Here is a 15,715-nt window from a genome sequence, read left to right as displayed (position 1 = left end):
AAGATTCAAGTGCAAGGTGAAGCAGCAAGTGCTAATGGAGAACCTGCAGCAAGTTATCTAGAAGACCTAGCTAAGATCATTGATGAAGGTGGCTATACTAAGTAACAAATTTTCAGTGTAGACAAAACATTCTTCTCTAGGAAGAAGATGCCATCTAGGATTTTCATAGCTAGTGAGAAGTCAATGCCTGACTTCAAAGCTTCAAATGACAGGCTGACTTTCTTCTTAGGGGGTAATGCATCTGGTGACTTAAAGTTGAAACCAATGCTCATTTATCATGCTGAAAATCCTAGAGCCCTTATGAATTATGCTGAATCTATTCTGCCTGTGCTCTATAAATGGAACAAGAAAGCCTGGGTGACAACATATGTTTACAGAATGAGTTACTGAACATTTTAAGCCCACTAAGACCTACTGTTGAGACCCACTGTTCAGAAAAAACAATTCCTTTCAAAATATTACTGCTCCTTGACAATGTGCCCAGTCACCCAACAGCTCTGAAGATGTACAAGGAGATTCATGTTTTCATGGCTGCTAACACAACATCCATTCTCCTGCCCATCGATAAAGGAGTCATTTGGACTTTTAAGTCTTATTATTTAAGAAATACATTCCATAAGGCCAGAGCTGATGGGTCTAGACAAAGTAAACTGAAAGCCTTCTGGAAAGGATTCACTATTCTAGATGCCATTAATAATATTCATGATTCATGAAAGGAGGTAAAAATGTCAACATTTATAAGAATGAATGAATGAATTAGAAGGTGATTCCAACCCTCATGGATGACTTTGAGGGGTTCAAGACTTCAGTGGAAGAAGTAACTGCAGAATGAGAAGTAGAGCCTGAAAACGAGACTGAATTGCTGCAATCTCATGATAAGACTTGAACAGATGAGGAGCTGCTCTTACGGAAGAGCAAAGAAAGTAGTTTTTTGAGATGGAATCTACTGGTGAAGATGTTGTGGACACTGTTGAAATGACAACAAAGGATTTAGAATATTATGTAAACTTTATTGACAAGGCAGCAGTAGGATTTGTGTGGACTGACTCCAATTTTGAAAGAAGTTCTACCGTAGGTAAAATCCTATCAAATAATCCATGCTACAAAAAAAATCTTTCATGAAGAGTCCATCAATGTGGCAAACTTCATTATTGTCTCATTTTATGAAATTGCCACAGCCACCCCAACCTTCAGTAACCACCACACTGATCAGTCAGTAACCTTTGACATCAAGGCAAGATCCTCCACCAGCAAAAGGATTATGACTTGCTGAAGGCTCAGATGATTTTTGGCATATTTTAGCAATAAAGTATTTTCAATTAAGGTATGTACATTGTTTTTTAAGACATAATGCTACTGCACACTTAAGAGATTACAGTATAGTGTAAACTTAACTTTTATATGCACTGGGAAACCAAAAGATCTGTGTGACTTGCTTATTGTGACATTCACTTTATTGTGTGGTTTGGAACAGAATCCACAGTATCTCTGAGGTATGCCTTTATATGGCTCAATAATGAATACCATCAACATGGTCATAATAGTATAAATACTGAATATTATTCTAAACAAAATTATGAAGGGAAAATGAAAGGATAAGAAGGATATGGATGTGACAACAGCCTGGGGGGTGGATGGAATGCATTTTTAAGTGAGAAAGAAAGCTAAACTCTCACCTTGCTTAATGAGAAGTTAACAGATAACACCTATAACTGAAAAATCGGAAAGGAGCTCACAGAGCATATTATTTAGATGCAGAAATAATCACCAAAAAAATGAGATGAAAGAATTTAAAATGGGTGGCTCTAAAGAACAGGAAATTTGAGGACTTTTGGGAGTAGAAAAAACTGCCCTTTTTCATTACAGGAATCATAACACACTTTGATTATTTAAATACATGCATGTACCACTTTTTTTTTTTGAGACAGGGTCTCACTCTGTCACCCAGGCTTAAGTGCAGTGGCGTGTGATCACACCTTGCTGCAGCCTCAACCTCCCAGGCTCAAGCAGTTGTCCCACCTGAACCTCCCAAGTAGCTGGAACTACAAGTGCGCGCCACCACGCCCCACTAACTTTTGTATTTTCTGTAGAGAAATGGTTTCACTATGTTGCCCAGGCTGGTCTCAAACTCCTGGACTCAAGCAATCCACCTACCTCAGCCTCCCAAAATGCTGGGGTTACAGATGTGAGCCACTGTGCCCAGCCATAACTTTTAATTAAACAAACAAAACTGAAATAGAGAAAATGTCCACACATTCATGTATATACATTGTTCCAGACAGAACCATACTATCTGTTCTCTCTCCTTTTTAAGTCTTAAAGGAAAGAAAGAACATGTCATGATAAGAAACTTAAAACACAACAGGACCCAGTAATGTGAAAGGGAGAACAGCAATAAACAATACTGGAGATATATAGGCAAAACCTGCTTCTTAGGAAATAATAAATGCTATACAATTGATGGCTTATATTAGGATAATCAGGAAAATTTAAATATAAACTAGGTGTGATAATGGTATTGTATTATGTCCAAGAAGGTCATTTTTTTAGACTTTTCTTAAGAGATGAGGTCTCACTCTCTTGCCTAGGCTGGAGTACAGTGGTGCAGACATGGCTCACTGTATCCTTGACCTCTTGGGCTCAAGCCATCTTCCCACCTCAGCCTCCCGACTAGCTAAGACTACAGGTGTGTATCACCATGCCTGGCTAATTTTTTTTTTCTTTTTTCTTTGTTTTTTTTTTTTTTTTTTTTTTTTTTTGAGATGGAGTCTAACTCTGTCACCCAAGCTAGAATTCAGTGGCACAATCTCGACTCACCACAACCTCCACCTCCTGGGTTCAAGCGATTCTCCTGCCTCATCCTGCCTCAGTCTCCCGAGTAGCTGGGATTACAGGCACCTGCCACCACGCCCAGCTGATTTTTTGTTTGTATTTTTAGTAGCGGTCTCACTATGTTGCCTAGGCTACTAGGCTAGTCTCAAACTCCTGGGCTCCAGCAATCTTCCCACCTTGGCCCCCCAAAGTACTAAGATTACAGATGTGAGCCATCAACACCAGCCCAAGATACATTTTTTTTTTTTTTTTTTTTGAGACGGAGTCTTGCTCTACCACCCAGGATGGAGTGCAGCGGCGCGATCTCAGCTCACTGCAACCTCCGCCTCCCAGGTTCAAATGATTCTCCTGCCTCAACCTCCCAAGTAGCTGGGACTACAAGCACGTGCCACCATGTCTGGCTAATTTGTTTTTGTATTTTCAGTAGAGACGGGGTTTTACCGTGTTAGCCAGGATGGTCTCGATTTCCTGACCTCGTGATCCATCCGCCTCGGCCTCCCAAAGTGCTGGGATTACAGGCGTGAGCCATCACGCCCGGCCTCCAACATACATTTTTTTCAGCGATATATATCTAGCAGCGAAATGTCATAATTTCTATAGTTTAAATATTCTTCAACAATTAGATAAAACAAATGTTGCCAAATGTTAATAACTGTTAAGTCTGGATGATGAATATGTACGTATTTATCATAGTATCTCTATTTTTCAGTACATTTGAAATTTTCATAATAAAAAGTCAAGAAAAAATTACTTTGCAAAGACCTATGCATGAAGTAATAAGTTCAATTTCCAAAACCATCTTTAAACAGGGATTGGAGGAAACTAGAAATATTCTACGGTTATCTTACCATATCCTGCCATAGAAGCACCGTTCTCGACATCCACTGTGTTCTTATTTTCCTCTGCTAGAGCTTTAACATATCTTTTGCTTAAGTCTAGTATTTGCTCACGTAACTTGACACTGCTTTGATGTCTTGGTTGTTGAAAAGTATAGTGCAGTAACATCAATCCCCAAATGAGTCCAAATACAAGCAACAGTAAACTCAATTTCTGGGACATATTTTTTCTTGAGATTGTAAAAAACATTTCTGAAGAAGCAAACAAACAGACTTGACTGAAAAATGGTAACTTGAGGTAAGCCACAAATCAAGACTTGAAAAAAAAAAGAAAAAAATATCCTCAATATTGTATATTCTTCATCTTCAGCAAGGTTGTATCCACTCTATTAACTCTGTAAAATTAAGAAGAAAAACAGTATTAGTCTTAATCTGTATCAGTAACAGAACAGACGACTATAAAGAAAATATTCTATAATTTTTATTTGGAACTGTGTCATATATTTGACAACTTTCTCCACCACTAAGTAAGCTTTCTAGTCTTTTATCAGTCTCACTTACGTATCTTTTCAAAGTTTAAACTAGAAACAAATGTCAATTCATTGAAAATAACTGAAAAAATGCAACCATGGTCATAAAACTCTTCAAATTGTTTCTCATTTGTAACTAAAACCATGGATATTATAATGAGATATATAGGAGATCTCAGTCTATTCAAATACGTGTCACCAACCTAAATGCCTAAAAGCTATTCTTCCTCAAAAAAAAAAGAAAAAACATCAAAATGAAAGTTAGGAAGAAGGAAAGAAAAAGGATCGGAAAATCAAAATGCCTGTCTAAAAAGAATTCCCACAATATAAACAGAGTGTGCCAACATTTGAAAATGTCACCAGAAATTATTACTAATGGGCATAAGGTAACCTTAGGAAGCATCCAATCCAAGATGCAATCTAAGATAAAAAATAAGTTATAATTTCTAAGTTTATATCATACAAAAATATGCCAGACATAAAGAATGATGATCATTTAACGGCAAGTACTAAAACACTTGAGACCAGGGGCAGTGGCTTACACTTGTAAGCCCAACACTTTGGGAGGCAAAGGTGGGAGTATCCCTAGAGCCCAGGAGTTTGAGACCAGTCTGATCAACATAGGAAGACCTCATCTCTATACAAAAATTTTAAAAATTAGCCAGGCATGGTGGCATGCGCCTGTAGTCCCAGCTACCCAGGAAGGTGGGGCGGCAGGGCTGCTTGAGCCTGAGAGGTTAAGGGTACAGTGAGCCATGATCATTCCACTGTACTCCAGCCTGGGTGACAGAGCAAGACCTTGTCTCAAAAACAAATAAATAAACAAACAAACAGGTTGGAACATTTTTCTATATTTCCAAATTTACAATTCCAAATTTTAAATGAGAAAGGTATGCATTTATGTAATTTAAGAAAAAATTAAAAGGTTATACTTCAAGTTTTTAAAACACAGAAAGGTGTTAATCACAGAATCTAGAAAAACCAGGAGAGTAAAAAAGGTGTGAATCACCAGTGTCCAGTAAAAAAAACTCTTTGACTACATCAAATGGAGCAAAATTCTTTAGATAGAAATGTATCTCGAGTCAGAACAGTGCATTTCACAAAGATATTTCACAGCTTACTGAAAATAATCCTTAAGAACTTTTTTAAAATTGTATTTATTTATTTATTTTTTAAGACAGGGTCTCGCTCTGTCACTCAGGCTGGAGTACAGTGGTGCAATCTCAGCTCACTGCAGCCTCCACCTCCCAGGCTCAAGCTATCCTCTGGCCTCAGCCTCCCGAGTAGCTGGGACCACAGGCATGCACCACCACACCTGGCTAATTTTTTTTTGTAGAGAAGGGCTTTTGCCATGTTGCCAGGCTAGTCTCGAACTCCTGAACTCAAGCTATCCACCTGCCTCAGCCTCCCAAAGTGCTGGGATTAGAGGCATAAGCCACAGCACTGGCAGGAACTCAGCTTATAGTTTAACTTAGTTTTTAGTTTACCTTTCCCAAAACCCCCCTCCTGTCTGGGGACTAGAGTACCTTTGCAGGACTAATAAATTAGCTACAAAATTAGAAATTGTCCAGGCATGGTGGCTCACACCTGTAATCCCAGCACTTTGGGAGGCCGAGGTTGGTGGATCACCTGAGGTCAGGAGTTCACCAAAATGGTGAAAGCCCATCTCTACTAAAAATACAAAATTAGCCGGACGTGGTGGCGCATGCTTGTAATCCCAGCTACTAGGGAGGCTGAGGCAGGAGAATCACTTGAACCCAGGAGGCAGAAGTTGCAGTGAGCTGAGATTGCAACATTGCACTCCAGCCTGGGCAACAAGAGTGAAACTCCATCCCAAAAAAAAAAAATTAGAAATTAAGGTTTAGAAGTCACACAGCTGGAGGCTGCAAAATTTGGAACCTCCCCAAATTGTTCCTGGAGGTAATACCATTATTGTCAAACTGAAGATCAATGCTTGAGATATTCTGCAAACCCTGAACTAGATGGATCAGCTGACACCACCCAGATCAACGAACTGGCTCATCTGGTCTTGTGGCTCCCACCTAGGAAGTGACTCGGTGCAAGAGGACAGCTTTGAAGAGTCATGATTCTATGATTTTGCCTCCAACCTGAACAATCAGCACTCCCCACCTTCTGGCCCCCTACCTACCAAATTATCCTTAAAAACCCCAATCCCTGAGTTTTCAGTAAGATGGGTTTGAGTAATAATAAAATTCTGGTTTCCCATACAGCTGGCTCTGCATGAATTAAACTCTTTCTCTATTGCAATTCCCATCTTGATAAATTGGTTCTGTCTAGGCATCGGGCAAGGAGAACCCATTAGAACCACCATTAGGCAGTTCTAACAGGATGGGCAGTCAGATACACTTCATTATACTTCCCTCCCTTGACAACTGCCATTATCATCATGCCATTAGGCATTATTCTCTAAGGGCTAACTTAGGGGTGTCCAATCTCTTGGCTTCCCTGGGCCACACTGGAAGAAGAATCGTTCTGACCACACATAAAATATACTAACACTAACGACAGCTGATGAGCTAAAAAAAATTAAAAATTAAAAATCACAAAAAAAATCATAGTGTTTTAAGAAAGTTTATGAATTTGTGTTGGGCCACATTCAAAGCCGTCCCATGCAGCCCATGGGTTGCAGGTTGAACAAGCTTGGGCTAAACAGAAACCAGGCCTTTCAAAAGACTCCACCACTGATCTCAACCAACTGCCTGACTGCTGCCTCTCCATTCTGCAGTTCCAACGAAACAACCTACAAGCATTTCTTCCTGATAAGAGACCACCAGCCACAGAGTAGTTCTGGCCAGTCTACAGAGGATGCACAGTAAGGGTTTTCGTGTCCTCCGCTTCACCTTTTGACATCAGAGGGCTGAAAACTCCACCCTGGAATCATGCTAACGCCACAATTTTTTTATATGCAGGACCTAGGAATGGGTATGAAGCTCAATTGTGCATGCACGTTTCTCCTTTCATAAATATTCATGACGCCTTAAACTTATTAAATATGTATATTCGGCCACCCTGCTCAGCATAAATTCCTGTTCCCTTTGTCCCTCTCTCCAAGTGTCTGTTTCTGGCTTCTGGACGGAGGCTATGCTTCCCAGCCTGTCAGAAAGACCACCGTGCAGGTTGCAACCCTTTATAAGAAATAAAGCTCTCCTTTCCAAATTTATGAACCTTGTCATTCTTCAGATGACACCATGACGACCTTGAAGGGGAAGGGGTGAAGGGGATTGAAAATAGGTGACCTCTGCTGGAACCTGAGTCGTTACCCCCAGGGTAGGCTAGGCCCTGTATTTATAAGGCAAAAGTAGAAGTAAAGTGAAGAGGAAACAATTTCCACTGGTATTACTTTATTCTCCGGGGCCAATATGAATACACTCACTGTTCTATTCTCAGAGAACTGTCTGTGATTTCACATAAGAAAAATAAAAAAAGATAAGAAGTTTTGACTTCTTTAGCAACTGAAGGTATTTACTTATGTACTTTTAATTTAGTGATTAGAAAGGAAAATGATTATTAGCCTCCATCCTTAGGAAAGAAAAAAAAGGAAAGGAAAGATTCAATGTCCTTTCTTTCTGTGCAATGTTCAAAGCTGCAAATAACAGAAGAACTTGCACTTTGAACCTCCTCAATTTTTCTTTATGTTTCAAGTACTGATCCAGCCCCCAGAAGGCCACTTAGATAAGGACAGAGTCACTAAGCAGAAACCTGATAGGCCAACATTGAGGCCAAGGGCTTATGGCTACCATCTGGCATAGTTCTTATTGGAGTACTTCTTCCATCAAAACAGTCTACAATCTAAAAACTTTTAAATCTTAATTTCTAGGCCACTATATTAATTTTCTATTAATCACTTAAAAAAAACACAAAACTTGAAATTCACCAAATTAACAACTAGAGAGTTGTTTTTTGTTTTTTGCTTTTGAGACAGGGTCTCGCTCTGTTGCCCCGGCTTGCAGTACAGTAGCACGATCTCAGCTCACTGCAGCCTCGGCCTTCCGGGCTCAAGCAATCCTCCCACCTTAGCTTTCTGAATAGCCTGGAACTACAAGTGCACACCACCAGGCCTAGCTAATTTTTGTACTTTTTTTTTTTTAGAGGGGTCTCATTACGTTGCCCAGTCTGGTCTCACGTGATCCTCCTGCCTCATCACGTGATCACCTGGCCTCACGTGATCCTCCTGCCTCAGCCTTTCCAAAGGGATGGCAGGTGTGAGCCACTGTGCCTGGTCTGGAGTTTTAAAGGCAAAAAATAAAATAATCATCATCATTGTTATTTTGGCCTAAGATAAACCTTGAATATTTTTAAGATTCCCAGGAGAAAGTGCTCAACCAACTGCAGAAGTCACAAAAGTAATTAGTCTATATGGCACAAAAGTAGAATAACTAAGGAGAGGGGACACACTTAAAATGAAGTATCAGTAAAGTACTAGACCTGAAGAAGGGCAACAGAGTGTGATCCAACTATCACCACCTCCAAGTGGATTCCTATAGCTGCTTGTCAAGTGGTTTGCCAGACTCCTCTCCAACCCTACTTCAATCCATTCTTCTCAGAGCAGTCAAATATTCTTCCAAAAACAAAACTCATAATTCGAAGACATTTTGCCAATAAAAAAAAATGCTCAACCTCATTAATCATAGGGAAATGTATATTAAAACCACTATGAGGCCAGGCACAGTGGCTCACACCTGTAATCCCAGCACTTTGGGAGGCCAAGGCAGGCAGATCACGAGGTCAGGAGATCGAGACCATCCTGGCTAACATGATGAAACCCCGTCTCTACTAAAAATACAAAAAATTAGCTGGGTGTGGTGGCGGGCACCTGTAGTCCCAGCTACTTGGGAGGCTGAGGCAGGAGAATGGCGTGAACCCAGGAGGCGGAGCTTGCAGTAAGCAGAGATCACGCGACTGCACTCCAGCCTGGGCGACAGAGCAAGACTCGGTCTCAAAAACATAAATAAATAAATAAATAAAACCACTATGAAATACCACTTCATACCCATTAGGATAGTTATCACACACACACACACACAAAAAAAAACAGAAAACAAGTGTTGGCAAGGATGTGAACAAATCGAAACTCTTCTGCTCTGCTGGTGGGCACATAAAATGGTGTGGCTGCTGGGGAAGACAGTATGGCATTTCCTCAAAAACTTAAACATAGGATTATCATACAATCTGTAATTGAACTTCTGGATATATACACAAAAGAAATGAAAGCAGAAACCCAAAGGGATATGTGTATGCCAGTGTTCATTGCAGCATTATTCATAACAGCCAAAAGGTGGAAACAACCCAAGTGTCCATCAACAGATAAACAGATAAATAAAATGTGGTATCTACATACAATGGAATATTATTCAGCCCTAAGGAAGTAAGATGTTCTGATACATGCTACCACATGGAAGAAGAGAATGGAAAGTTATGATTTAATGGGTACAGAGTTTCAGATGGAGATGATGAAGAAGCTCTGGAGATGGATGGTAGTGATGGTTGCATGATGATGTGAACGTACTTAATGTCACTGAACTGTACACTTAAATGTTAAAATGATAAATTTTAGATTATGTATTTTTTTACCACACACACACACACACACACACACACACACACACACACACACAAGCATATCACATTCTCCTGCTTAAAAACCTTTCAACAGTTTCACACTGCACTTAGAATCTAACATGCAAACTCAGTACCAACCTTTACAACATGCAATCCACAAGCCCTACATAATCTGACTTCTACCCATTTCTCTTTGTCCTAATCTCATACCACTTCCCTCTTGCTCACCATGCTAAACCCATGCTAGGGAAAACACATTAAATTCTTTCTGACCTCAGGGTCTATACAATTGCTATTCCCTAGCTTGGAGTACTTTCCCTACAACCTGTTCCTTTTCATCCTTTAGTACTTAGTTCAAATGTCATCGCTTCAAAATGTTTTCAAAAAGTTGCACTCCAATTCCTATCCCACTCTAGCCACAAGGTACTCTCTATCATTTTCTTTTTTTTTTTTTTTTTGAGACGAAGTCTTGCTCTGTCGCCCAGGCTGGAGTGCAGTGGCTCAATCTCGGCTCACTGCAAGCTCCACCTCCTGGGTTCACACCATTCTCCTGCCTCAGCGTCCCAAGTAGCTGGGACTACAGGCGCCCGCCACCACACCCGGCTAATTTTTTGTATTTTTTTAGTAGAGACGGGGTTTCACCATGTTAGCCAGGATGGTCTCGATCTCCTGACCTTGTGATCCACCCGCCTCAGCCTCCCAAAGTGCTGGGATTACAGGTGTGAGCCACCGCACCTGGCCCTATCATTTTCTATATGAAATTATAGTATATCTTTAAAACCTTGTAAAAGTTATTTTATCTCCCTAAGGCCTGATATCCTCACTTATATAATGGGGACAACAATACCTATTTAATACTGGTAAAGAATAACTGACATACTACTCAATAAATATTAATCTTTATCATTAGTGTCAGGCATTTATGCAACAATGCTACTAATTCTTGGTAATCTGAGTAACATTAGGTAATACAGGAAATGTCTTAACAGACTCAAATAAAACTCCTGATTAGCTCTCATGGGCCTCCACAACCCAGTCTCCAAAGACCAAGTTTATTTCTCATTAGTCACAAAAATATCTCCTCCAATCCAGCCAGTCTTCTCTCTGCTTCATACAATAGTAATAATTATATCTTACATTTATATGATAATTTTATTTACCCAGCATGTGTCTTACCTGTTTGCTGACATCCTCTCATTCAGTTAATAACAGTCAGCTCTCAGAGAGGCTACAGGCTTGAAAAGGTTTCTACTCAGAATTTGTGGACAACATGAAAATGTCATTGGTATTAAGTCACTGGAGCATTACCTAGTCCTAAAAGATGACATAATAGCATGTTGCTGATGAGAACAGTTCATCTTCCAAGTAGTCTGAAAGGAGACGAGGTAAAATACCTGTTTAAATCTTACCTCGGATAGAATGATTTCAAAACCTCCTTACCTTATTCTACCCCACACTGATCTTCTTCTAACTCCCACAGCATGTTACTTCATACCAATTAATTTTATATATCACACATCCAAGCATGTGTGTAAGCCATGTCTCCCTGATTAAGTCCCAGGTCCCTTATGGGCAAGAACAACAAGCCTTACACTGCTGCCACATCCCCCACAGAGCCTAGTGAACAATCAGCCGTCACTGAGAAATGCCTTATGTTTACTTTAAAACACATCCCTGAACCTAACCCCACCTTCTCCCACGCAGCAATGTGACCTCTCTGCAATGAGTTTTGGGGTAGAGGACCAGAGGATAGAAATTTGGGGGTAAAGTACCTTCAATTATCCTTTTCTAGACTGGAAGAACCTGAGAAGAAACCTAATCCATTTCCCTCGCATTTCAGATAAAGAAACTGAAGCCCAGAGATGTTAAGTGTCTTGCCTAAAAATGAAACCCAGTTAATGGCAGAAATCCTACTGGTCCAGAATACAGGTCCTGACTCACTGTCTAGGGTTTTCTCTACACCACACTACCTTCCTTACTTCCCCTAGAAAGATTGTGTTTGTAAATACGGAATAAACTGTATTAAATGAAGTTTTGTTCTTTTTTGCTTTAAAAGAATGTAACCAGAAAATAGTAATGGCAGTTTAGGACAATGATCCTGAAGATGCCTAATTTGAACTATTCACTAAATTATTAAGCTGGCTCTTAAAGTTTCAAGTAAACTGTATTCACATAAATCAAAGTATTATAAAGTTGCTACAAGAAGGATTTCGGAAGTCTTATATGTTAGTTTTTATACAGGCAAAAAACTAGAAGATAAAAACATATGAAGTAAAACAAAGATAAACACAAAGTCTTCTAAAGGTAGAGACCTTCACCATGATCAGTAAACATAGTGATAACACACTTCCAGAAAAAAGAATTGGAGGTGGAGGGTGGGGGGCAGTGCATAAAGGCCTAGGCTCAAACACAACCTTTACTACATGCAGTTCTATTTAAGGCATGAAAGAACTTGGTTTACTCATTCATTTGTTCACTAATTCATTCACAATAGCAAAGTACCTACCATGTGCCAGGAACCATAGATGTGAAAGGTAAAGCAAGATATGAAAGACAGGATTCCTGTTTTTCTGGATACTATTTTAATAGGAACGGGACAACAAACAAGCAAACAAACAAGTTATCTCAGTTTGTGATAAACTGCTATGAAGAAAAAAAAAAAATGGTGATGTGTCTTGGAACATCTGCCTGAGGTGTGAGGTCAAAGAATAATGAGGGGGTAATATCTGATTTCAGAAAGAGGAGGAAGTACAAAGTCTGGTTCCAATTTCCTTCCAACAAAACCTTTAGAATTCTTCTTTTACCAGAATCTCGGGAGCAGTCAACAAATTCCTTATTCCTATTTTCCTCAGTACAAACAAATGAGAATGAGAAGGCTCCCAAAGCACAGCATGAAATGGCCTGGTCTGGAGAAATCATACAAACTGAACAGAAGGAAACCCACAAGCAAAGAAAGCTTTGTGTTCCCCTGTCTTAAGAAAATGGCAGTTCCACTATTTGGTAATATACAGGAATAGTAATGATCTGATATGGTGGTGTTTACAAAGAAAAATATATTCTTATTGGTGTTCTCTAATCTGAAAGGGGCAGTGGCAAGATCAGATACGAAATAAGGTCTAGGTAGCAATCTGTCAGTGCATTTACTTAAAACTTGTATTAAGCATTTTAAATATAATTTTTCAAACTCCAAAATATTCCCTGTTAAGAAACACAAAAGTAGAAAAACATGGATAAATTTTTTTTCTAAATTTGTATATTTATTACAGGCATTAACATGTCCACTCCACTTTACAAGATCTTCGGAGAAAAGTGCTATTCCAAGCTCCATTATGCTACTTGACAAACAGCACACTATGTATATGTAAACAACCAAATATTTAAGCCATTTTTCAGTGGTTTCTCCCTAGCCACAGACATAAAGATATGTGCTTGTCTTTAGTCCAACATTATTTCCAGAGAAAAGTAAAACAGGCTGGGCATGGTGGTTCACACTTGTAATCCCAGCACTTTACAAGGTTGAGGTGGGAGGACTTCTTGAAGCCAGAAGTACAAGACCATCCTGGGCAACACTGCAAGACGCAGTCACTACAAAAAAAAAATAAAAATTAGCCGGGCATGGTGGTGCGCACCTGTAGTCCCAGCTACTCTGGAGGGTGAGGCAGGAGGACTACTACACAAGCCCAGGAGTGCCAGGTTTCAATGAGCTATGGGTGACAGAGACTCTATCTCAAAATTTAATTAATTAATTAAATCAAACAAAGAATCAGCAAATATTTAAACTAGAACAACTTCATTATAAAGATAAGGAAAATGAAGCACAAAGAGAATTAATGACTACTCAAAGTCAAACATACAGAGAAACGTTAGGCATCCAAACTTTCAGCACAGGACTCCACTGTTTTTCAAAAGCAGGGAACAAAATCAACAGTTTGCAATGAGCAATTTTCAAAACACAAGATAAAATAGAAACCATCAGAGTAGACCGTACACACTACCAATTTTGTTTTGTTAAATTTCCAGTTTATTTTTACATATACAGACATATGCATGCATACACAGTTGTTGCTGTTTGAGATAAGGTCTGGCTCTGTTGCCCAGGCTAGAATGCAGTGGCCATAGCTCACTGAGCCTTGATCTCCCAGACTGAAGAGGCCCCCACCCTTGCCCCTGCCTCAGCCTCCTAAGCAGCTGGGACTACAGGTGTGTGCCACTACACTTGACAAATTTTATTTTTAGCAGCGACAAGGTCTCACTATGTTGCCCAGGCTGGTCTCAAACTCTTGAGCTCAGGCGATCTTCCTGCCTCAGCTTCCCAAAGCGCTGGGATTACAGGCATGAGCCACTGAGTCCAGCCTATGCACACACAGTTACACGTGTATGGAGTCTTTTTTTTTTTTTTTAATTATTGATATGAGATCTAACTATGTTGCCCAGGCCAGTCTCAAACTCCTGGGCCCACATGATTCTCCCACCTCTACCTCCCTAGTAGCTAGGACTGACTGCAGGTGCACACAACCATACTCAGCCATCAATGGAGTCTTGCTATAAAAAGATCTCTTACTACGGATTGTAACAAAAAAGTTTAAAAAATACTGCATTTCACACTCCCTGTCATCTGTCATGAAGTACTTCCTTGTATTTTATGCAAACATAGCAACAGCAATATTAAAAACACAAATAGATGGCTAATCATACCTTAAAATCTCTCATTCAAATCTCATTTTTGCATCTATTCAGTGCTCTACATTTTGTGCCATTATAACTATAGCTAAAGTAACTATCAACAGCAATAGCAGCAACTAGCAGGCAGAGAAGCTTTCACTCAGCCAAAGGTACTAGAAGAACTACTGCCTATTAGTCTCCAAAGGAATTTCAGCTAGAGAGGCATAGATTTACTACAAAAAGACACAGTATGTTCACCACAGCTCAGAGGTTCAAATAGTTCTCTCCAAAAACGACCCAAAAAAAAGTCCTCCACAGACTTGACCCCGGAATGTAATTTCAGGGAAAAAGGGGCATTCCTAAAATATTTTCTCTATGTAACACTGCCTGAGGCTAATATGGTGGTGGGGGGGGGGGGGTTAACACAGAACACAGCCATTCGCTCCATAATAAGGTCTAAGATTTAAAATGCACTGCCTTGAGAGAAGCTACACTAAAATTCCAGCTAAGATACGGAAATAATGAGTGTCAAGATATCAGATCATTTTTAGATGGCACATTTGGGAGACAGAATAGAAGACAATAGCACTGAATATTACAAAAACAGATAAAAGAAAAATGGTAAAGTGAGGCAGGGATAAAAACAGAAAATGTTAAGGCAAAAAGAAAACTAACCATTATGCTACAGTAAAAGTTTAATTTAAAATATGGCCTGGCGTGGTGGCTCATGCCTGTGATCCCAGCACCTTGGGAGGCTGAAGAGGGCGGATCACTTGAGGTCAGGCATTCAAGACCAGTCTGGTCAACATGGTGAAACCCCATCTCTACTAAAAATACAAAAATTAGCCAGGCATGGTGGTGCATGCCTGTAAACCCAGTTACTTGGATGGCTGAGGTACAAGAATCGCTTGAACCTGGGAGGTAGAGGATGCAGTGTGCAGAGATCGCACCACTGCACTCCAAGCTGAGTGAAAGAGCAAGGCTGTCTCAAACTAAACTAACTAAACTAAAATATGCAATAAAATAAACTATGCAGGCCGGGCTCCAGGGCTCACACCTATAATCCCACCATTTGGGAAGCTGACATAGGCAGATCACTTGAGGTCAGAAGTTCAAGACCAGCCTGACCAACATGGTGAGACCCTGTCTCTACTAAAACTACAAAAATTAGCCAGGCATGAGGTACAAGAATTGCTTGAACCCAAAAGGTAGAAGTTGCAGTGAGCCAGCACCACTGCACTACAGCCTGGGTGACAGAGTAAGACTCTGTCTCAA

General features: G+C 40.0%; 1 protein-coding gene across 2 annotated transcripts in view, besides 1 other annotated feature; it reads right to left on the bottom strand.

Moving 5' to 3' along the window:
* CCDC126 (coiled-coil domain containing 126) overlaps positions 1-15,715 on the bottom strand; it is a 47,327-nt gene that overhangs the window by 29,475 nt on the left and 2,137 nt on the right. Inside the window, exons 3-4 of one of the 2 annotated variants that reach the window (XM_017012775.3) lie at positions 10,955-11,148; positions 3,681-4,063 (exon numbers count right to left, since the gene is read on the bottom strand). In XM_017012775.3, the coding sequence (XP_016868264.1) occupies positions 3,681-3,918 (238 nt within the window). In that variant the 5' untranslated portion in view covers positions 3,919-4,063; positions 10,955-11,148. The remainder of the gene's footprint in view (positions 1-3,680; positions 4,064-10,954; positions 11,149-15,715) is intronic. The other variant, NM_138771.4, reaches the window with a different exon arrangement.
* Positions 8,868-9,002: a silencer, noted in NCBI's record as "fragment chr7:23645851-23645985 (GRCh37/hg19 assembly coordinates)". NCBI's record gives its function as "represses an EF-1alpha promoter that drives an FKBP-Casp9 reporter gene in an ReSE screen in K562 erythroleukemia cells {active_cell/tissue: K562}" and the evidence as "EXISTENCE:reporter gene assay evidence [ECO:0000049][PMID:32094911]".

The sequence above is a fragment of the Homo sapiens genome, chromosome 7, assembly GCF_000001405.40.
Source record: "Homo sapiens chromosome 7, GRCh38.p14 Primary Assembly".
Classification (NCBI taxonomy): Eukaryota; Metazoa; Chordata; class Mammalia; order Primates; family Hominidae; genus Homo; species Homo sapiens.
This window is presented reverse-complemented; position numbering and strand designations above follow the sequence as displayed.